The 23,609-nt window shown below is 41.0% G+C and overlaps 1 long non-coding RNA gene and 1 pseudogene across 1 annotated transcript; one reads left to right on the top strand and one right to left on the bottom strand.

Moving 5' to 3' along the window:
- Positions 1-1,080: 1,080 nt before the first annotated feature.
- On the bottom strand, positions 1,081-12,372 carry LOC107984275 (uncharacterized). The gene is made up of 2 exons (XR_001747613.2): positions 4,858-12,372; positions 1,081-4,735 (listed from the first exon to the last, which is right to left on the bottom strand). It is a non-coding gene; the product is annotated as an uncharacterized LOC107984275 (long non-coding RNA).
- Positions 22,358-22,794, top strand: RPS26P39 (ribosomal protein S26 pseudogene 39; annotated as a pseudogene).

Raw genomic sequence — 23,609 nt, 5'->3', positions numbered from 1 at the left:
CCCCGGGCTTCAGAATGTAAAAGGCATTTTGGGCATGCACTCATTTATCGCCCTCTAGAATCTGAGAGAGTAAAACATCTCGTCCCCATTTCCCAGATGAAGAGCTGAGGCTCGGAGAAGCGAAATAACTTGTCTTAGAGTCCCAGAGGGAATACAGAAGTGGCTACATAATTTGCGGGGCCAGGGAACTTGAAAATGTAGAGTCCTTGTTCAAAAGTTACTAAGGATTGGTGACACTAGAGCACTGAACCAAATGTGGAGGCCTTCTCAGCCCGCAAACACGGTGCAGGCCCAGGAAGTCAGCCCTGGAGTTAGGAACTGAGCCCTGACTTCTTAGGGGGTTTAGAGCATGTGCCAGCACCCCACAGCTGCCTCTTCCGAAATACAGCCACTTCCTGGCCCCTGGCCTGCAGCCCTCAGAGTGGGGAGGGGGTCTCCAAAGCAAGGGAGCAGACTGAAGCGCCTCCACAGAGCCTGACCACAGGCTCCAGCGGGGCCCCCATGTTGCTGATCACATTAGCTGAATTCAATTGTGATGCCCTCTAATTACAATCCTTTTCTAGGAACAAGAGGGCCAAACTGAATTAGGAGGGGGAAACAGTCCATACTTTCATTCAGAAAAAAAAAAAAACTGGAATAAAGGCAAAATTAGATTTTACTCCATGGGTCCTGGATTTAGAAGCCAGAGGACAGAGTTGAATCTTACCTCTGACACTTCAACTTACATGGGACCAGCAACAATGACATCTCTCTCAGCCTTGGTTTCTGTATCTATGAAATGGGAGTAAAGTATTTTTGGAGCATTGAAGAAGATTAAGTTAGACAATGCACTGGTACTTAATCTTCTGGGGGAGGCTCTCAAAAAAACACCTCCTCCATTTAATTTCAGGGAGTTTCATGGTGCCCTGAAGTATAAGCACAGTATCCCTGGACATGCCTGGAAGTTGAGTTAAGAAACACTCAAATAAGAAATTAAAATATTTTTGGTAATTTTGTGGGATTTTAAACCACTGTACTATGAATACATTGAATTAGAAAGGCTTTGTTGAAATATTCACAGACTTAACAAACAAGCCAGAGGACCCGTGCATTATTTTATTCTGCTCTAGCATGAATATTTCATAAATTACATGCAATTATTAACAACATCAACACCAGCAAATTAATTACTGTCAATTCATATTAATAAAATTGCATTTTGTAATAAATAAAGTTAGTTTACTGCGCCCCATCAGTCTCAGAGGTATTCACATTTGTCAATTGTCCTCTACTTCAGGCTAAAACAAAAGTAATCAAATAACTAATTATTGTACAAAATGTATCACCGCTTACACGTCAATGAAAACTCACAGTTATTTATAACCCTCACAACTGAATATTCAAATCACTGTTTATTCTTATGCTAAGAGGAATTTTCCAGCCCTCTCCTTTTTACCGACTCCCTCGGTCTCTGCCCTCCGCCACCTGAGGAATAGCATGTGGCCTCCTGAGCCATGGTGAAGGTGTCTCAGCAACGAAAGAGTGAGGGGCTCACAGCGGCGAACAGGAACTCAAGCAGAAACTCCAGAGAGATTTGCAGAATCTGCCATGGGCCTTCCCATCGCCAGTGGCCAGTTGCTCCATTTCTTGAATTCCATGCCACATAGGCTCCCCGCCTTCCGTTTTTCATTCTTACAAATAAAAAATGTCTTCTCCTTCAATAAAGGCTCCAGAACTGTAGCCTGGGATTACAACACGTATTCTGCCTCCCTGTGTTCATTTCAAAACCTGGGGTAGTCGACTCACCAAAGTGAAGTCAAAATAACTGCAATGAAAATTATCTACAGAGCCCGTTGCATGCAGAGCTAAATCACACACTCTTGATTTCCTCTGATGCTCACTCATAACAATTTAGTGTGTTCCATTTAGAGGTGGAGAAACTTGGGTTCCACAAGATCAGGTGACTTGTCCAGGAACCTTCAGGAAGGAAGAAGACAGCTAAGACTAGAACCGGCTCTGTCAATCTCACCTCCTGTGAGGTGTCCACCGAGCATCCCCGAGGCTCTGGAAAGGTAGCAATACACAAATGGAGGTTTGCATCTGCCCAGCCAGTCGTCGGCCTCCTCCCTGCACATGCTCAGGCCTGGCCGGGAAGACAGAAGACCTGGGACTCAGCCAGTCCCATATGGGCCAGAGGTGCCTTATACCCTCAGCATTTAACTCCCATTTTAAAAAAATACGTCAACGCCCATTTTGCCCAGAGGGGGAAATTCTCTTCTAAGATTTGAATTGATGTTTATAAAGCTGGAAGCATGTCAACTATTCACAAAGTGGGCCTCATCAGCAGAGTTTCTGCCTCAGTGTAGGATTCTCAAAATGTGACTTGGAGCCTGTCACATTTCCTAGGGCTGCCGTAACAAATCATCCGCAACTTGAGGGGTTCAAACAATAGGAATGTATTCTCTCGCAGTTCTGGAAGTCAGAAGTCTGCCCCTTCCAGAGCCTCTAGAGAAGAATCCGTCCTTGCCTATTTCAGCTTCTGTAGCCGCTTCTTGGCTTGTGGCAGCATCACTCCAATCTCTGCCTCCACAGGCAAATGACCAACTTCCATCTATGTCTGTTTCTGTGTACAAAGTTCCCCTCTTCTTATAAGGACACCCAGTTACATTGAATTTATGGCCCATCTTATTCCAGCATGACCTCATCTTAACTTGATTATATCTGCAAAAACCCTATTTCCAAATAAGGTTACATTCATGGATTCCAGGTGGACAGGAATTTTGGGAGGGGACACTATTCAGCCCAGTATAGAGTGCACTTCTTGATTCAATGGGGCAGTATTTGGCCCCACTAAACACAGACATTGCCCATGCCAGGAGTATGCCCCTTGTGGGTTCCCAGGCTGGGCACCAGAGTCGTCTTAAAAGCACGTAGCTAACACATTCCCGGACTCCATCTTGGCAGTTCTGGTGCAGAAGTTCAAGGGGGAGCCCAGGAATCTTTGTTTAAGGGCTGTCCACATGATTCTCATGGGTAGCAGCCAGGTTTGAGAATCTGTCATGTAGAAAGGCTAATAATCATCACTGTAATGATAACAAGAGCGGCCAACGTCGGTGAGCCATGCATGGAGCTAAGAGCCGCACATGCCCGCTCACTCCATCCTCGCTCACCATCTGTCAGTGAGATTGTAGCGTCAGTTATGCTCGGTTGACAGAAGAGAAAATGGGGGAGAGGGAAGGGAGACTCTGTGACATGCCCAAGGCCACATGCTGCTAAGAGGGAAGCCTGGGCTAGAAGCTTGTGCTGACCGCTTCACCACTCACCCAGCCATGGGTCAAGCAGCGAGTGCAGGTTCCATCCCAGGGACTCACTGTGCCAACGGACTTCATCCACAGCACAGCTCATGCTCCACTGGCGCCTGAGGAGAGGGCTGGGATTCCAAAAGTGATTTCCCTCAATTCAGTCTCTGTTCACATAGCTCCTCCATGGGAAATGATGTACTAGGACCAACGTGGAAAAGAGGAGAACAGGAGTGACTGAGAGAGGGCCCTGTGCGTTATATGTGGCCACAGCAAAGCATGGGCCTGCAGGCCTGTGGGGGATGCAGAGGGCCCTTCCCACTAGGACAGTCACCAAAGCTGTGTCTGAGATGAGCCCAACAGGCCAATAGGACTGGCACATCATGGATGCTCCCCATAAGTATTTGATGAATAAATGAATGGAGATGAATAAATGAATGGAGATGAATAAATGAATGGCAGGGGAAGTAAGAAAGGGAAAATATGCTGGGCAGAGAAACCTGTATAAACAGAGGCACAAGGACAGGAGAGCCTGGGGTGAGTTAGGAACCAGTGGTTGGGATGTGGCACACATACATCTAGGCAAGCAGTAAAAGGTGAGGTAGTAATCATAACAACAATAATACCAGCAGTTCACATTACTCAGCAGTTAAGTCCCAAGCTCTGTGCCTTACATGTATCTTATTTTACCTGACGAGGTATTATTACGATGCTCATTTTTAAGATGAGAAAACAGGCTCAGAAATGGTAAGCAACTTGCCCAAGATCACAGACTCTGTGAGTGGCAGATCTAAGACTCAGACCCGAATCCATCTGACTCTGGGCCCACCTCTGGTCCACGCTGAGATTCAGAGTTTACACTGTGATGTGGTCATCATGGAGCTCCTGAAGGGTGCTGAGCTGAGAAGGCACGTGCCTGGAGCTATGCCTATGGAGGACCCATCAGGAAGCCGGCATGAGCCTCCTCGGTGATCCCAAGTGAAACAGTGAAGTGACCAACATAACTATCCTATAACAGAATTATTCCAAACAGCAGTTTCTTAAAATAAAAACTCCGGATGGGAGGTTTTTATTGCAGGCTAATTATACAAGTGAGAAAGATTTATCATTTTGGTAAACATTCCCCATTCCCCAAACATGAAGAAATCAGCTCACATCAGTCTTTTGACATTTATCTGAAAAGGACGGTATTATTTTCAGAACACTGCTGTTGATTTCAAATATGCAAACAAACAAAAAAATTCTCCGGCTGCCCTCAAGAAAAGGAAAATATTAGGCTACCCATGACTCAAGGGAAACTGAGGGCTGCAGTGAAGGACCCCAGTTCATTCACACCTGAAACACTGACCCTGTATGGACAGGGCATCCCGGTTCACTCACACCTGAAACTGATCCTGGGTGGACAGGGCACTGGGTGGCATCTCCCTCTGCAGCGAATGACCCTGGTTCACTCGCACCTGAAACACTGACCCTGTGTGGACAGGGCATCCCGGTTCACTCACACCTGAAACTGATCCTGGGTGGACAGGGCACTGGGTGGCATCTCCCTCTGCAGCGAATGACCCTGGTTCACTCGCACCTGAAACACTGATCCTGCGTGGACAGGGCACTGGTGGCATCTCCCTACTTTCCAGGCCTAGAAGTTTAGTAGAACCCAAACAGGAACCATACGACCATCAGCAAGACAGGAGATGGGGGCACCTGGATCCCTGGGAACCAGCATCTTTACAAGGGATGATAGAGCAGGTGGTGGGGGGCAAAAAATGACAACAACAATCCAACCTCAAACTTTAAATCTGGGCTACTTTGCTATAACCCCAACGACATGGTTCTTTTGCTAACTGATAGGAAGATCTTTCAAGTTTCTAAAGACTGGAGATCCTCTGCTGCGACTCATACATTTTACACAGGAGGGAACTGAAGCTCAAAAAGATTGTCTTGCCCGAAGCACACAGCCAGGTGGGAGTAAATGGAGTCTACCCTACAACTCCAGCCCCCTGGCTCCCCGGCCAAAGCTCTCTTTTCCTCTTTTCATCTCATTTGGCTGCTTCTTCCAAAGAAATGTTTCTTCTGCACAAACAAAAATAAAAAATGGCAGAAGTGTGCATTTGCACAAACACACACACAAACATATAATTCTTAAAATTGGTAAAAATAATTAAATCCAGAAAACCAAAGTTCAGCATGACATTGTCCTTAATTAAATGATGCTCTCCCCATATTTTTCTTTCCTCGAATTTGCTTTTTAACAACAGAAAGAGCTAAGTAGAGTGACTATATTAACTGAGTTTCTTGCCTTTTAATAGTTGGTGTCACCACCTTCATGTGATTCAAATTTAGTTGCTTTGCGCCTAATTAAAGCATTGCACAAAAATAGGTAATTTGACATCCAAAGGAGGAGTGAGAGGAGACCAGAGAAAAGAGGGGACATATTACTTAACTTTATGATGATAATTACCTGAACACAAAGACGCTTATAAGAACATTCTACGCTGGATACCATCCAGAAAAATTAAACCTATGTTGCTGCTTCAATACATCTGAATACTAGGAATTGGCAGAAAAAAAAATCTGTTCTATGAATAATAGCCTCTACAGTCCCAGAGGAAAGCAGTACATGAATTGAAAAAAAAAAAAAAAGAAGAAAGAAAGAGAAAAAGAAAAAGAAAAAATGGAGTCTTGAGCCTTTTCCAAAATGGTGCTAATGCGCCACTGAAACTTAATTTTATAATTTACTGGCAGTCAAGATGGCAGGAAATAAAATAATTTGCTATATTCTGCACAACAAACCCTGCTTTTCCTGGGAAGGGGTAATTATCCCCATGGAAAAAGAAAAAAAGAAAAAAATACGCCATCTCATATTAAGCTAAAGTCTCATCAAGAAGAGAAAAAGTGCCTCATTACATGTAATTACCAGGGAATTAGAAACATCATTTAACTAAATGAGCGAATAATGCTCAGGATATTGAAGAAACTTGCCTGCACTTCTGCAAAGCACTCTAAGTCCCATTACAAAAATTGCCCCTCTTTAATGGAATAATTTTAGGCCTTGTCTGCCTTGCTTTAAAAATAAAGAGCCTCCGAGCGGCAGAAAGAGGCTGAAACTGCCATAAACAACTGTTGAAAGGGACTGAAGGGAAGGCGCTGTCTCTCTTGGAGACCAAGACCCAGAATGACTCATAATCTACCATAATCAGGAAAATTAAACCTGAGGACTTGAAAAAAGGATTACCCCCTTTTTAATTGTACTTCCTCAAGACTGCGATGTGCTTGTGAGTATGTATTAGGGATAACAGATGAAAGATTTTCAAGTTCGGGTACGGCTTCCCTGCTTCGATACAAAAGCAGTTACAGCCAGTCAATGTTATCTTAAAAAAATAAAATTATAACATACCTGCAGATTGATGTTTATTGTGTCTTAATGCAATGATTTTCCAGCCATTCAAAAGCTTCCAGGCTTGAGTTAGGATCCCCTCCCCTTTTTCCCTTTGCTTTTCATATTTGTCAAGATTTAGCATAGAAGCAATGAATTTAATATAACCATCTCACCTTCCAGCAATGCTAATCTTTCTTCACCCAGAAACCAGAAAAGGAAAGTATATTGATACTGGTCACTCCATCTTAGTTTCTTGACTTTAGAGCAAGAAAAATTCAGAAAGTAATTGGTATTGGTCAGATTCCTAGCAGATGGCCAAAGAAGGCTCTCAAGAGGCCATTTTAAAGAAGAAATGAGTCAGGGAAGGGATTGCAATATCATCCTGAGATATCCTGCCCTGAGACCCAACAAAGAGCCACCAATCCCCACCGCTGCATGAGGACCAGGGCCTTCCCTGGAACAGGGGAAGCCAGAGCAACCAAAAGTGCCATTCCCTCAGCCATGGACTTCAAGCCACCATCAACAGCAACACCCCTTTTCAGCAATGAGGAAGCTAAAACCAGCCAAGGTCTCAGAGTTCCCTCTTCCAGTCCCTTGTGGCCAAGTCCAGATTCATATATGTCAAGCACAGTCACCTCTCAGCAGGGCAGGAATGACATTCCTACCTACCATACCTCATCTGAATTCTCTATCCCCTCACAGAGGTTCCGTAGTCTAAATACATTGCTTCCTGGTCCAGTACATGTAAATATGATAGTAAGAAGAGATGACAAAGTGCCAGCACCATAGGTGTGCTCACCACAAACACCTGCCCTTGGGATGGTTGGAGATGGTAGGCGGAGAAGGCAGCAGAGCTAGGACAGGAGATAGCTGAGCTTGATCTATTCCTCTGTCCCCTTGGGCCCTTGGACATGTCCCTCAGAAACACTTTCAAGTTCTAGGGCCCTATACCCAAGAAATAAAAAGAAATAATGAAAGGCAAAGCAAATATGAGAAGAGCTTCACATAGATAAAGCCCTGGAAAAAGAAACCACATTTAAGATTGATAATGGGCAAAGTGCCCTGGGCATTTTAGGTCCCCTCATTTAACTCCGAGATGGAATTTGGCACTAATGAAGTGTTTGGGTGATAGGAAACAAAGAGGAAGCCAACGTCCTATCCCAGGTAAACAGAAAAAAAAAGCACACAGTATAATATCATTTCACGATGAGTCAGGTTAACTGACTTGCCTGCTAAGATCACACAAAAAATAAGGGAAACCCAGAATCAAAACACAGATCCACCTGCTTCCAAAACTATTTCCCTGGGCCACACAATGCTGTCCTCTCCAATGAGTATAAACAAGGAGCATTAGTAATAGCACTCACCATACTATAGCATCCCAATGTATTTCAAAGAGCTTTAACACATGTTCTCGCCAATGAGGTAGATAAGGATGGCACAATCTCCATTTCATACCAAAACTTGAAATGATCAGGGCAAAGTCATCCTGCCACCAGCTGCCAAGACCAGTGATACTTTCTCCCGACTGATGATCATACTGGTAGTGAGAGTAGAACAAATTCTGAAAGAAGGTCCATCTGGACTAAGATTTGCAAACACAACAAATGTTTATTTTCTCAATGTAAGCAATACTAATTGCTTACCAATAAAAGAAGTTTTTACTTTCTAATTGTTTCTTTTATTTTTATTTTCTAATTGTTTCCCACCAGATCATCTATCTTGTGACATTAGTAAGGCAAAAATTTTTAATCATATGAGTTAACCAGTTGACACAATAAGCTCACATTGAACACTCTCTGCTCCAAACACCACAGCAATGACAGCTAAATCATAAGAGAAAACAAAAAAGGCACAGTCAGACTCCAAAGTAAAAAATAAACATTTCTGTGGACTTAAATAGCTGATCTCTGGGGCTGGAAGCAGGAAGCAGTGGCAGGGAGTTTACCACTACAGCTGCAGTTGCAGCTACTCCAGACGTGGGAGGATTGCCTGAGTCCAGGAGGTCGAGGCTGCAGTGAGCTATGATCACGCCATTGCATTTCAGCCTGGACAACAGAACAAGACTCTGTCTCAAAAAATAAAGCCTGGAAATCAAAATTGTATGTCAGCCCTCAAAATCAAAATTGAAATCTATATTTACCCTAGATGAAATTAAAATTTTATAGCTCCCTGTACCAAAGCCTTCATTTATGTTTAAAATATTCAAGGAGGTAAATGAATGTATAACTTCATTGAAAACAATTCAAGAGGCTGGGCATGGTGACTCACGCCTGTAATCCCAGTACTTTGAGATGCTGAGGTGGGCAGATCACCTGAGGTTGGGAGTTCGAGACCAGCCTGACCAATATGGAGAAACCCCATCTCTACTAAAAATACAAAATTATCCAGGTGTGGTGGCGCATGCCTGTGATCCCAGCTACTCGGGAGGCTGAGGCAGGAAAATTGCTTGAACCCAGGAGGCGGAGGTTGTGGTAAACTGAGATCACACCATTGGACTCCGGCCTGGGCAACCGGGCAGGCTGGGCAGCCAAGAGCAAAACTCCATCTCAAAGAAAAAAACAAACAAAAAATTCAAGAAATTATGTATCAAAAATAAGCAAATGCAAAACAAGAAGAGGTGGATATGAAATAAAATAGAAATCCAAGAATTTTTTTGAAAACTTACTAGGTGAAATAAATTCTGGATTAGACACAAAGAGAGAATTAGTAAATTGCAGAGAGTTCTGAGGAACTCATCCAGAACATAGCATGGAGAGAAAACAAAACTAAAATATGGAAGAGCAATTAAGAGACACAGACAGAGAATTATAAGGTTCCAACATTCACCAAGCAGGGATACCAGAACAAGAGAATGTAGGGACTGGTGGGGAAGCACTATTCAGAAATACAAATGCTGAAAATCTTTAAGAACTGAAGATGTATATTACATTTTCAGCACTAAGCAAGAATATATGAAAATAAATCCACAACTAGACATATCACAATGAAATTGCAGAATAAAAAGAATAAAAAGACAATCTTAATAGCTTCCAGAGTGCTATGGCTACTTTTATGTGTCAACTTCGCTGGGCCAGGATACCTAGACATTTGGAAATTATTCTAGATTTTTCTGTGAGGGTGTTTTTAGATGAGATTTACATTTAAATCAACTTTGAGTAAAGCAAATTGCTCTCCATAATATGGGTGGGGTTCATCCAATCTGCTGAAGACCTGAACAGAACAAAGGGCTGACCTTCCCCAAGCAAGAGAGAATTCTGTCAGCAGATTGCCTTCAGACTTCATTTGCAACATTGGCTATTCCTTGTTTACCACCAGACTGCATTTGGATTTGAACTGCAACTCTTCCCTGATTGTCCAGTCTCCTCTATCAAATTTTAGACTTGCCAAGCCTCTGTGTTGCATGAGCTAATTCTTTACAATAAATATCTTTATACATATATATGTGTGTATGTGTATGTATAACTATATATATAAATGTATGTATGTATACATACACACACACACACATTATTTTATTGATTCTGTTTCTCGGGCAAAACCTAACTAATACACAGAGGGAAAGAAAGATAGCTTCTAAAGGAACAATAGTTAGGCTCACAGCGGACTTCTCAACAGGAAGTACAGATGTACAAAAAGTATGCAGAGAGAAAATTAACTATCAACCTAGAATTTCATATCCAGCTAAACTATCTTTTGAGAGTGAGGACAAAATAAAGACATTATCTGGAATACAAAAACATACTCAGATTCTCATTACAAAACAAACAAAACAAAAAATTACTAAAGGATACATTTCAGCAAGAAAAAAAGTAACTCAAAGGTAAAGAGCAACTATTGGCAGATATATATACATACACACATACATACATAGTATATTAATATAAGTAATTAACTGCTGAACTATAAAATAACTAACTTTGATATTTTAAAATTGAAGAAAAATAAAACTATAAATAGCAATTATAAGATAGTTAAAGGGAGTGATCTGTGAGTAGGTAACGTGAGAAATGACTGTTACTATTGGAAAGAAGCTAGAATTATTGAATAACTATAGAGTTTGATGGAAAATAGATAGAATACTTTAAAGGTAACTATCAATCTATAGCTTTCAAGCCAGAAGTGAGGTGGGGAAGAGGGGAGAAATATGAAAAACTATCAATCCAACAAAAGGCAGAGGAGGAAGAAAGAGAAAACAAAAGCATTATAAGTAAAAATACCTAAATAAGGCAGCAGAACTGAAGAAATAAACTCATATATATTACTAATCACAAAGAAATCTAAATGGATTAAATCTACCTATTTAAAGACTGAAATTATTATACTGCATTTGCATTTTTAATCTAGCTATATGATGCTTAAAATAGACACACCTGGCCGGGCATGGTGGCTCACACCTGTAATCCCAGCATTTTGGGAGGCCAAGACAGGCAGATCACTTGAGGTCAGGAGTTCAAGGCCAGCCTGGCCAACATGGTGAAACCCCGTCTCTACTAAAAATACAAAAACTAGCCAGATGTGGTGGCACACACCTGTAATCCCAGCTACTAGGGAGGCTGAGGCAGGAGAATCGCTTGAACACAGGGGAAGGAGGTTGCAGTGAGCCAAGATCATGCCACTGCACTCCAACCTGGGCAACAGAGCAAGATTCCATCTCAAAAAAAAAAAAAAAAAACAGACACACCTGAAACCCACAAGAAAGACTGAAAATAATAAAACATAAATATATGTCACATGCAAATATTAACCAAAATAAAGCTCACAGAATGTTGCATCAGTTAATATGTAAAGCCAAAGGTGTTAATAGGGATGAAGAGGCATACTTTGTAATAATAAAGGAAAAAAATTCACCTAGAGGATATAATAATTATTAATAATCATAAACTTGTATGCAACTAATAACACAGCCTCAAAATTACATAATTCATTACATACATTAAAAATATTAAAGCAAAACAAGTAACAAATTACATAAAGCAAAAACAGAATTTAAAGCAGAAACTGACAAATCAACATAATGAGAGATCTTAACATATCAGAAAAATTGATAGATAATGTAGGTCAAAATTTAATAAGAACAGAAGATAACTGAATAACACAATTAACAATCTAATGAATATAAAAATTCATCATTGTACCTAACAAATAGAGAAAGTTATTTGCAAGTGTATTATAAGCCATTTATAAAGATTAATTGTGTTACAGTGGAAAACTTAACAAATCACAAAAATTGGTATCATTCAGATGACTCTGACTACACTGCCATTAAGTTATAAATGAGCAATAAAAAATAGCCCACATGTTTGTAAGCTTAAAAATATACATCTCAGTAATTTATGGTAAAAGAGGAAATCTCAGTGGAAATCATAAGTATGTAGAACCAAACAATTATGAAATATCTCACATCAAAACTTTTGAGATGGGCCAGGCATGGTAGCTCACACGTGTAATACCAGCACTTTGGGAGGGCTAACAGGGGAGGATTGTTTGGGTCCAGGAGTTTGAGACCAGCCTCGACGACATAGTGAGACCTTGTCTCCACAGATTTAAAAAAAAATTTTTTTTTAATTAGTCAGGCACGGTGATGTGCACCTGTAATCCCAGCTACTTAGGAGGCTGAGGTGGGAGGATCACTTGAGCCCAAGAGGTGGAGGCTACAGTAAGCAATGATCACACCACTGGACTCTCACTTGGGTGACAGAGCAAGACCCTGTTGCTTAAAAAAAAAAAAAAAAAAAAAAAAAAATGGTGTGAGATGTAGTAAAGGACGTATTTGAAAGTAAATGTGTAACTTTATATAAATTTATTTTTAAATGAGAAAGATTGAGAATTTGTGACTATTGTATTTAGCTTAAGAAGTCAGAAAGAGGCCGGGCATGGTGGCTCATGCCTGTAATCCCAGCACTTTGGGAGGCTGAGGTGGGCGGATCACAAGGTCAGGAGATCGAGACCATCCTGGCTAACATGGTGAAACCTCGTCTCTACTAAAACTACAAAAAATTAGCCAGGCATGGTGGCGGGCGCCTGTAGTCCCAGCTACTTGGGAGGCTGAGGCAGGAGAATGGCATGAACCCAGGAGGTGGAGTTTGCAGTGAGCCGAGATAGTGCCACTGTACTCCAGCCTGGGCGACAGAGCGAGACTCTGCCTCAAAAAAAAAAAAAAAAAAAAAAAAAAAGAAGAAGTCAGAAAGAGAACAGAAGAATAAGCCTAAAGAAGGTGGGCAAATTGAGGCTGGATGTGGTGGCTCACGCCTGTAATCCCAGAACTTTGGGAGGCTGAGGTGGGTGGATCACCTGAGGTCAGGAGTTCGAGACTGTCCTGGCCAACATGGTGAAACCCCGTCTCTACTAAAAATGCAAAAATTAGATGGGCATGGTGGCGGGCCCCTGTAATTCCAGCTACTCGGGAGGCTGAGGTAGGAGAATTGCTTGAACCCAGGAGACGGAGGCTGCAGTGAGCCGAGATGGCGCCACTGCCCTCCAGCCTGCACAACAGAGCGAGACTCCATCTCAAAAAAAAAAAAAAAAGAAGAAGGTGGAAGAATTGGAAAGACAAGCAAGAATCTAGCAAGAATCAGAAAGGACATTCTTTTTTCCCCTCTGCTACATTTCTGCAAAGCCGTATTTTGCTTGCTGTGGGGTACGACTAGGTGATTCAGGTGGAGATGAAATCAGTCAAACCTTGGTCATGAGGCTGTACCTCCAGGGCATAATAACACAAACCCAAGAGGCCCTTTTTTTTTTTTTTTTAAGGCAGCCAGTGTTTATTCAGACTGTGTGCTGAACACTTTGTTAAGATGTGTGGGTTAAAATGTACATAAAATTTATTACTTTAACCATTTTTAAGTGTACATTTCAGTGGCATTAAGTACATTCACATAGTTGTGCAACCATCTCACCATCCACTCCACAACTTTTTCATTTTCCCAAACTGAAATTCTGTACTCATTAAGCAATAACTCCCCAAATCCACCCTTTTCCCAGCCTCTGGCAACCACCGTTTTACTCTCTGTCTCTATGAATTTGATTACTCTAGACACTTCACGTAAGTGGAATCATACAGTAGTTGTCTTTTCACATCTAGCTTATTTCACTTAGCATACTGTTCTGAGGGGGTTCATCCATGTTGTAGCATATGTCAGAATTTCTCTTCTTTTAAGGCTAATATTCCATTGTGTGTATACACATTTTCTTTATTCATTCATCCATCGATGGGCACTTGAGTTGTTTCTATCTTTTGGCTGTTGTGAATAATGCTGTATGAACATGAGTGTACAAGTATCTCTTCAAGTCCCTGCTCTCATTTCCTTTAGGTATATACCCAGAGGCAGAATTGCTGGATCATATGGTAATTCTGTTTAATTTTTTTGAGAAACCACTATACTGCTTTACGTAGAGACTGCACCATTTTACATTCCTACTAGCAGTACACAAGAGTTCTAATCTCTCCACATCCTCACCTACACTTGCTATTTTCTGGAATTTTAATAACGGCTATCCTAATGGGTGAGGTGGCATCTCACTGCAGTAGCAGGGACTTTATTAATACTAGAGAGCACTGTAGGCATCCTCAGAGGTGGACTCCCACTCCCACATTAGCAGTTCAGAGTTTATAACTCAACTTATGTTTTGAAAGAGACTGGAGAATAAAATGGAAATTAGGAAGATGTAGTTACATAATGCACTGCCTGAAATAAAAAGTTCTCTCCCATTAGGAAAAGAATATTAGATTTAATGAATGCCCTAAGAATCTAATGTTACAGAATAACATGACATTCGTATAGCCCAAAAGAAAAAAAATAGAAATTTTTATTTATTTTTTGGCTTCTTTGGTCAAAGACCATCTTCAAAAGGAATATATATATCTCTCTCTATAAAATATATATGCTCCTTTTGAAGATATATACATACAAAATATATATATTCTTTTTGAAGGCATATATATGCCATATATATTATTTGAAAACAAATAATGGCTAGTATTATATATAAATTAATATATATTTACATATATTTAATATATTTATATATAATACTAGCGATAATATTTTTTAAAATATCAATAATTAGCATGTATTGAGTTATCACTATATGCCAGGCACTGGATTAAATATGTTACATACATTTTCATTTAATCTTCCTAACAATATTTTGGGTTGTCTTTAACAAATGAGGCAGCTGGAGCCTAGGATGTAGAAAATTTGCCCCGGATCACATAGCTAATCACTGGCAAAGCTAGGATTCGAGCCACGGGCTGCCTGATTTGGAATTTTCCATTCTACAAGTCATACGATTTCAAGATGTTTTTTGTGCTGCTTCAATTTTCTTTCTAGTAAAACCTCAGTGCAAGCTCCACTTTGCTCACTAAGACAGCACCCGCACACTTCAGAAAATGGGAACTGCCCTGAAAAGGATCTTCATGAGCCATGCTGCAGTTCTCACATGAACTTGTTGCTTCCCAGTTATTGACAAAATTCTTCTCCCAGTGGAAACCATGAAGAGCACACACCCAGCTGGTCCTCTTTGAACTGTGGCACACATTAAATGCTGAAGGCGCAAGATTGGATTGCCTTACAAACTCACCAGAAAATTGGGTAGGGTTTGTACCTCCAAAAATAAAGCTCCCAAATGTAAATGGAATAGCATATATCTGGTGATTAATAGCCAATTGATTTGTTATTATTATTATACTTTAAGTTGTGGGATACATGTGCAAAACGTGTAGATTTGTTACATAGGTATACATGTGCCATGGTGGTTTGCTGCACCCATCAACCCGTCATCTACATTAGGTATTTCTCCTAATGCTATCCCTCCCCTAGCCCCCCACCCCTCGACAGGCCCTGGTGTGTGATGTTCCCCTCCCTGTGTCCATGTGTTCTCATTGTTCAACTCCCACTTATGAGTGAGAAAATGCGGTGTTTGGGTTTCTGTTCCTGTGTTAGTTTGCTGAGAATGATGGTTTCCAGCTTCATCCATATCCCTGCAAAGGACATGAACTCATCCTTTTTTATGGCTGCATAGTATTCCATGGTATATATGTGCCACATTTTCTTTATCTAGTCTATCATTGATGGGCATCTGGGTTGACTCCAAGTCTTTGCTATTGCGAACAGTACAGAACAATAAACATATGTGTGCATGTGTCTTTACAGTAGAATTATGTATAATCCTTCGGGTATATACCCAGTAATAGGATTGCTGGGTCAAATGGTATTTCTGGTTCTAGATCCTTGAATTGCCATACTATCTTCCACAAAGGTTGAACTAATTTACACTCCCATCAACAATGTAAAAGTGTTCCTATTTCTCCACATCCTCTCCAGCATCTCTTGTTTCCTGACTTTTTAATGATAGCCATTCTAACTGGCATGAGATGGTATCACATTGTGGTTTTGATTTGCATTTCCCTAATGACCAGTGATTATAAGCTTTTTTTCACATGTTTGTTGGCCAGATAAATGTCTTCTTTTGAGAAGTGTCTGTTCATATCCTTCGCCTACTTTTTGATGGGGTTGTTTTTTTCTTGTAAATTTGTTTAAGTTCTTTGTAGAGTCCGGATATTAGTCCTTTGTCAGATGGATAGATTGCAAAAATTTTCTCCCATTCTGTAGGTTGCCTGTTCACTGATAATAGCTTCTTTTGCTGTGCAGAGCTCTTTAGTTTAATTAGATCACATTTGTCAATTTTTAGCCAACTGATTTTTAACTACAATGCAGAACAGAAAAAAGCCCTACAAGTGATCCTGTAGAATTGTATCCCAGTTCTACAAGATCTGCATACCCAACCAAGGGTATGTTTCCCAACAAAGGTTACATTTCTGCATACCCAACAAAGTTAGGTATGCAGGATGTGTGTTAGAAAATATAGCCCAGATGCCATTGCAAAACATATCCCTAGACCAAGTCTCAATGAAGGCAAGACCTCCATTTCTCAGGGGCCTCAAGATCTCTGCTCCTCAATGCATACCTCTGCTCCCTTCTCAACTTTCTCACCTGCTTGCATGTGGACCAGAAGTGGCTTCCCCAGCCCCCAAATCCACAGGACCCTCCAACTAGCTGCAAAGACCACCACCAATGGGTTCAGTCTCTTTAGTGCCCTAGGAATGAATTCCAGTTGATCCAGCTCATCTTTCTTGAGAAGGACAACTAAAGTCCAAGGTCACTGTCTTCAGGCCAACCAGGAAATCAAATGCCCTTGAGTCAAGTATCCATCTGGTGTCCACTTAAATATATTAGGGAGGTGTTGGGGGTGGAGAGGGGCATGTACATAGTTCTGTGGCTTTGGGTACCATCCTCAAAAAGGGGCTTAGTCCAGGACTGAAAGAGCCCCCATGCAGAGATTATGGTGGCAAAGCAATAGCTTGGGAAACTTTTTCTTAACAATGATTTTCATAATGATTATGCAAAGTATTTAAATTTTATATGTATCTACATAATGTTCATCCACTACAACTCTAATATCTCTAGGCTTAAGAGAGAAAATGCCTGCTTACATAAAAGGGAAGAAGCAAATACAAAAATGTATGACAACTCAAAAGAAATGACATATGAGGGAACTGGAAATGACTTTGGGTAACTTTGGAACTTATTCAAATGTGTTTGCTTATTCACATCCCTTTCAAGGTCAGGGAAAGAGGGCTTCTTTCTAAGTAGCACTAATTAATGTCTCCTTTCTCTCAGCTTCAGGCCACTTGGCTGATTTATATGCCTGTCCCATCCCAGTAAACTATATGTTTCTTGAAGGCAAAGGTCACATGTGATTCATCTTTGAATAATAACAATAACAGCAATTAACACTGTGCATGGTGTTAATCACTTTATATCTGCTATCTCACCTAATACATATAACAACCCTATGCAATAGGCATTGTTATTATCACCACTTAAAGGTAAGAACGCAAGGCTCAAAAGTTAAATAATGATCCCAAATCCCATAGCTAGGGAGTTACAGCACCTGCATTCAAGCCTGATAGGTCCACTATAGAGCCCAGCTTCCTAAACTCAATGCTATGTCCAAGGCTAGGTCAGAAATGTTAGGTTCAAGAGATGAATGAATGCGTGAATGGGTGAATGGATGATGGATGGATGGATGGATGGATGGACAAATGAATGAATCTTTTAGGAAAACAAAACGTGATCCACAAAGACAGTACTGTGGTGACTGGTGAGCTAAGCACATTAAGGCATGTTCCTGAGTGAGGTCAAGGGCATGGATTTGCTGTATTCCTTGTCTAGGAACCTCTAATAAAAAATAAAAAACCTGCACCTCTAATAAAAAATCCCCACCACAAGTCCTAGAAGCATAAGGGTCATGAGAGGGAAAGAGAGACGAAGGGATGAAGGACAGAAATAGACACGCGGTGAGTATTGATTCTGTTTTAGGTTTCACAAATCTGAATTTGTCTGATCAGCACAAATCCACCTTCAGAAATGGTGGAGGGTCAGAAGGATCATCTTCATATGAAAAAGACTCCCATTATGTTCTAGAGACCACAGGAGCTGAAAGGTTTTAGCACCTTCATCCACCTCTAAACATTTGCCCTTCACAACAACTTTAAAAGCAAAAGGCTTTGAAAGAACGAAAGCCCTTTTGAACAGACTTCATTCACACTTGCCTGTAACTCTCTTACTCCTTGTATCCAGTCAGGGTTCAGACAGGGAAGCAGAGTCCCAGGGGCTCATGGAATAGGGCTTGATTATAGGAATCTGACCTTGTAGTTGTGGGAGGAGCTGTTGGGGAGGCATGAAGGTCTGGACGGGGTGCTGGAGGATCGGCAAACACAAGCAGTCAGAGAGGCCAGGCACGTTTAGCCACCACAGAACTGCAAAAGGATCTGAGGAAAGGCTGTGTAGTTAATGTCCTGTGGGTCTGTAGCCAAGCATCTGGTGGCGGGCCCTTGGGCAAAGCCAATGAGTAAAGAGAAGCTAAACTCTATCAGGCACCTCTGCAACCATCCATCACTGCACCTGACAGCAAAGAAACCCAAAAGATAATGGCCACCATGTTTCTTCAGCCTTCCCTGTCCGTGTGTGTTCCCCTTTTGGCCAGCTCTAACTCAGAAGCATATAGGGAAGGGGATGCTGGGAAATGTAGTTCTCAGCTTAACCAAGTTGACCCAGCACAGTCCACCAGACTCCTTTAATTAAATATAGAATACTTAAAGTGATTATTCACATCTTTGGGGAGACTGCACATTTTAATCATAATTACATGATAAATATTTCATGGTATATATCTTTGTCATATAATTAGGAGTAAAATATGTAATTTCAAAAAGATGCTAAATAATTCAAATGGCTGAGGATGTGATTAAAATCATGACTGAGATATGGTCAAAAGGTAACTCAAGGTCTTCAAACATGATCTCCCAAGCCACATGTCTCCTGACAACTGGCCCAAACCTATTATCACTACCCTACATTCTCTCATGAAGTCTTATTTCAGAATGAAAATTTCAAGAACAAGCTCACAATATTTTCCCATCTTCCTCCCTCCAAAATTACTAGACTTGAAAAATCTCTACAGTATCCCAATAACCACCTGATTAATATGCAATTTTAACACCTGGTGGTGTCCCCAAATACCTATCTTCTGAAACTCCATGTTCAGCTAAACCTGAGCTGGGCCCAAAAGTGAGGATAAGAGTGTCTCCTAAGCTACTGCCTGGAAGATTCTCTCCACAATACATGTGTTTCAAGGTTTCACTGTACTATAAGTAAAATGGGCCCTGTCACCATGCCTTCAAAAGACACAATTCCTTCATGGCATATGCATGCTAGATCAGATCCAACTCTTGGGCTTATGGGCATGCCAACAGGCTCATTTATCCATTGCCACCCACCACCACCTGGACCAAATGGCATAATGGAGTAGCAAACAACTATTTCAAAACCCCACCAGCCACATTTTCCTAAGTCAAGCTGTGCACAAATGCCTTTTACTATTTATTGATTGAAGGAAAGAAGGAAGGGAGACACAAAGAAAGAAGTGACACAGAAACAGCAAAAAGAGAAGAAAAAGACACCGTATGCCCTGAATTACAGACCTTCATGATTACCTGTAAGCAGTGGTCAAGAGAAGACCTTCAATGGCATGCCATTGTAACAGTCAGCCTGGCACAGGCTTCTAATCCCTGAAGGTTATGAGGCTCTTGTGAAAGACCCCTATTTTTTCCAGCAAGCAGTTGGCAGTGATGGATGACTCCATTAGAACAGCCATGACTCCATGTTTTCTCAGAGGCCCTCAGCATCCAGTTAAGAGGCTGGGCCTTAAGAAGCTTTTTAGATCTCAATTCTTGGACGTCCAAAGGGCTGAGAGTACCACATTCAGCAAGTTTCAAAATAGCTCAGAGGAGGCTTGTTTCAAACTGATTCCTTCAGTTACCAATTCCTGACCTTTATCTCTATTTCTGGAGAGCTAATAAAAACAAAGATTAATCCCTGTCTCACAAAAGTAATGACAATTCCACCCACAAATTTATTGGTTCATACTCTGGCACACCTGTCAATCTGCCCAACAAGTCCTCTTCCTTCTCTTACCAGGTTCTCCTGATTGCCCAAAAGCAGGACCTTTTATAAGCATATCTGTCCTCATAATTACAAATCAATAACTAGATGCTTATATCAACAGGTATTAAAAACAATTTCCCCTAATCTTATTTTTTCTTCTCATCCATTTTACTAAGCTCTAATCAGGGAGAAGCCAGTTTAGATTAAAAAGATGAAATTGATCAGGAATGTTGGCCAAAGAAATCTAAACACAGCCCAAAAGAGAAAAGAAAGCTTTTTCCTGAGTTCTATTTATTTTGGAGTCAAAAGTAAATAAGAAAACCTTTGTTAAAGTTTTGACTAGTGGCCAAATTAAAATTTCATATTTAAATTTTGCATTAGTCCAATTATTTCCCAGTTCATCCACATAGGCTAGTTTCCCTGCATGTTTCCATAGGGTTGTCCTGAATTGGAGGTCTTGGGTGAATCAAACTGATTTATTGTTTTCAGCCAAAAAGTGTTTTCCTAGAAATATTAAATGTGTCCAACCTCAGTAATGCAGACAGCTAGTCAAGTGTTTCCACACAGAGGTCTTGTTCAATATACAGGTCAAATATCACTATTATTATTAACAATGTGTTAAAATCTATAAAGAATTCACAATTTAGGAGTTAGGATATCCTCTGTAATCTCATTTGATTTTTTTCCTGTCATGTCAATTTATCATATTCTGTGTCAGTGGAGTCCAAATAAATGCAACTGATCTAACTTTTCAATAGCTTTACAGTTGAGTCAAAAGCAAAACCCTGGGCCGGGCGTGGTGGCTCACGCCTATAATCCCAGCACTTTTGGAGGCCGAGGCGGGCGGATCACAAGGTCAGATCGAGACCACCCTGGCTAACATGATGAAACCCCATCTCTACTAAAAATGCAAAAAGTTAGCCGGGCATGGCGGCAGGCGCCTGTAGTCCCAGCTACTCGGGAGGCTGAGGCAGGAGAATGGCATGAACCCAGGAGGCGGAGCTTGCAGTGAGCCAAGATCGTGCCACTGCACTCCAGCCTGGATGACAGAGCAAGACTCCATCTCAAAAAAAATAAATAAATAAACAAAAGCAAAACCCTGGGTAATGGATGGCAACACAAGTACGGGATGTTTTGAGATAGTATGTCCTATTGCAAAGCTAAGCAAAACAAAGGTGAAGTCCACATTCTAACAGTACACAATTAACAATATGTATTCCATTAGTATAACTAAAGTGACCAGAAAGCCAAGCTACCAAGTAACAAGCTCTCAATGAATAATGCCCATTCTAGACTTCTACTAGCAACTGAGGTCCACGTTCACCTGATGAACAGGAGAAACAAAACGTATTGTGTTGAGAAGCTTATTGGTATACTTGTCCTCCATTTCCATGATCACCTTTATGCTAGAGTCACATATGGAAAGCTGTGTTTCTCCATATGACCAGCAATTTTGATGAACTAACAGTGAACCCATCAAGAGAGTTGCTTCTATATCCAAAGCTTGATGAAGGCATACAGTGCTACTATTCCGTGCGAGGGTATTTCTTTACGTGGAGAATGCTAATAACTGAATGCCATGTTAGCCTGTGAAATGATGAAGGAACTGAAGGATTTTTTGTCAGACAATTCAATAAGAATGTTAGGTCTTAGCAGCTGAGGAGGGTAATATAACACTGAAGACAAATCGTCTGGGCTCTTTAAGAATACATGGCTGGTGCTAAGAAAATCTTCAAGAGCCAAGTATTTTGAGAATTATAAAGTGATGTTATAACAAGGTCAGGAGTCTAGGTACATAGGTTTTAAATTACTGCAATAGCCTATAACAGAGTCCTATAAAGGGGATGAAAGGTACTTTGTTACAACATTGGAAAAGCAAACTTAGGTGCTTCTGAGACCAGTAGGTATAATTTGTATGGCTTCTTCAGGTTTGTGTTAACTGCACAGAGTTGGCTAGTATGGTCAGAGGTGAAAGAATATTTCTTGGGAAATTAGTTAATGAAGTAAACCATTGGAAATGAACCTTCAATTACTGAAATTTGACACCTGCTAAAATAAAGCTCAGTAAAGCATTTCATTTTCCTTTTTTCTATTCAAGTCAGGCGATTTGGAAAGTCATACCAGTGGTGTATTTAAGGAAAGCAAAACAACAAAATAAAACCAATTGCTTTTCATTTAAAATAAGTCTGAAGTCTCTCCAGTCTGTGCCTCCAAGATGACAAAAGAAGGAACAACGGTCGTGCCAAAAAGGGCCATGGCCACGTGCAGCCTATTTGCTGCACTAACTGTGCCCAATGCGTGCCCAAGGACAAGGCCATTAAGAAATTCGTCATTCGAAACATAGTGGAGGCCGCAGCAGTCAGGGACATTTCTGAAGCGGGCATCTTCGATGCCTATGTGCTTCCCAAGCTGTATGTGAAGCTACATTACTGTGTGAGTTGTGCAATTCACAACAAAGTAGTCAGGAATCAATCTTGTGAAGCCCGCAAGGACCGAACACCCCCACCCCGATTTAGACCTGCGGGTGCTGCCCCACCTCCCCTACCAAAGCCCATATAAGGAGCTGAGTCCTTAAAGACTGAAGACAGACTATTCTCTGGAGAAAAAATAAAATGGAAATTGTACTTAAAAAATAAATAAATAAATAAATAAGTCTGAAGACCAGTTGCCAAATCATGAGTTATATTAAATGGGTGGGCCAACTCACGTCATGTTCTCCCAATTACAGCCCTCTATAAATCACAGTACAGTCTAGTTTTTATCTTCTGATTTTTTTTTCATCAGGACACAAAATGATTCCCAACTAAGTGCCTTACAACCACCCCAGGACAAGTTCTGTGGGCATCCTTCGAAAATGAAAGCACCGTTACAACACACCACTGATCAAGGGGAAAGTGCCTTTGTACTCAATGGCGCAATTGGTATTTGCGGCCACAGGTACAGCAGCTTTCTTTCATTTCTCTCAGTGCTAGTTCCAAAGGCAACATAGCCAGGTGCCATTCTGAAAGGAAACTGCTATAACTAGTCTTAATAGCATAAATCAGTACTTTCCCAAGTGAAAGATGGGCTACCCAGAGACATTTCAAAGACTGAAGTGGGGAAGTCAAAGGAGAGAAGAACCATGAAACTGGCGCTGTGTTTGCTCCTCAGATGTCAACACAGATGTTGTTTTTAATCCACCTTATCTATTGAATACTAACATGCTCACATAGTTTCCTGAGGAAAAGAACAATTTCTGTTTGATTATGCAGTTTTCACCAAGTCAGAGACAATTGCCATTCCATTACAAAAATGGTGGCTGACCTCAAAGGAGGGGGCGCTCAGCTCCGCCACTCCCCTGCCCAACCTTGCTGCTGCTAAGTTGTTTCCCGGTCAGTGATGGATTGTAGCTTTGTCCCTTTCCCTTTCCTACATCTTATTAACCACACTTGATGTTAAATAGGG

This window comes from Homo sapiens, chromosome 10, assembly GCF_000001405.40.
Source record: "Homo sapiens chromosome 10, GRCh38.p14 Primary Assembly".
Classification (NCBI taxonomy): Eukaryota; Metazoa; Chordata; class Mammalia; order Primates; family Hominidae; genus Homo; species Homo sapiens.
The sequence above is the reverse complement of the archived record's forward strand: the minus strand, read 5'-3'. Positions and strand labels throughout refer to the sequence as shown.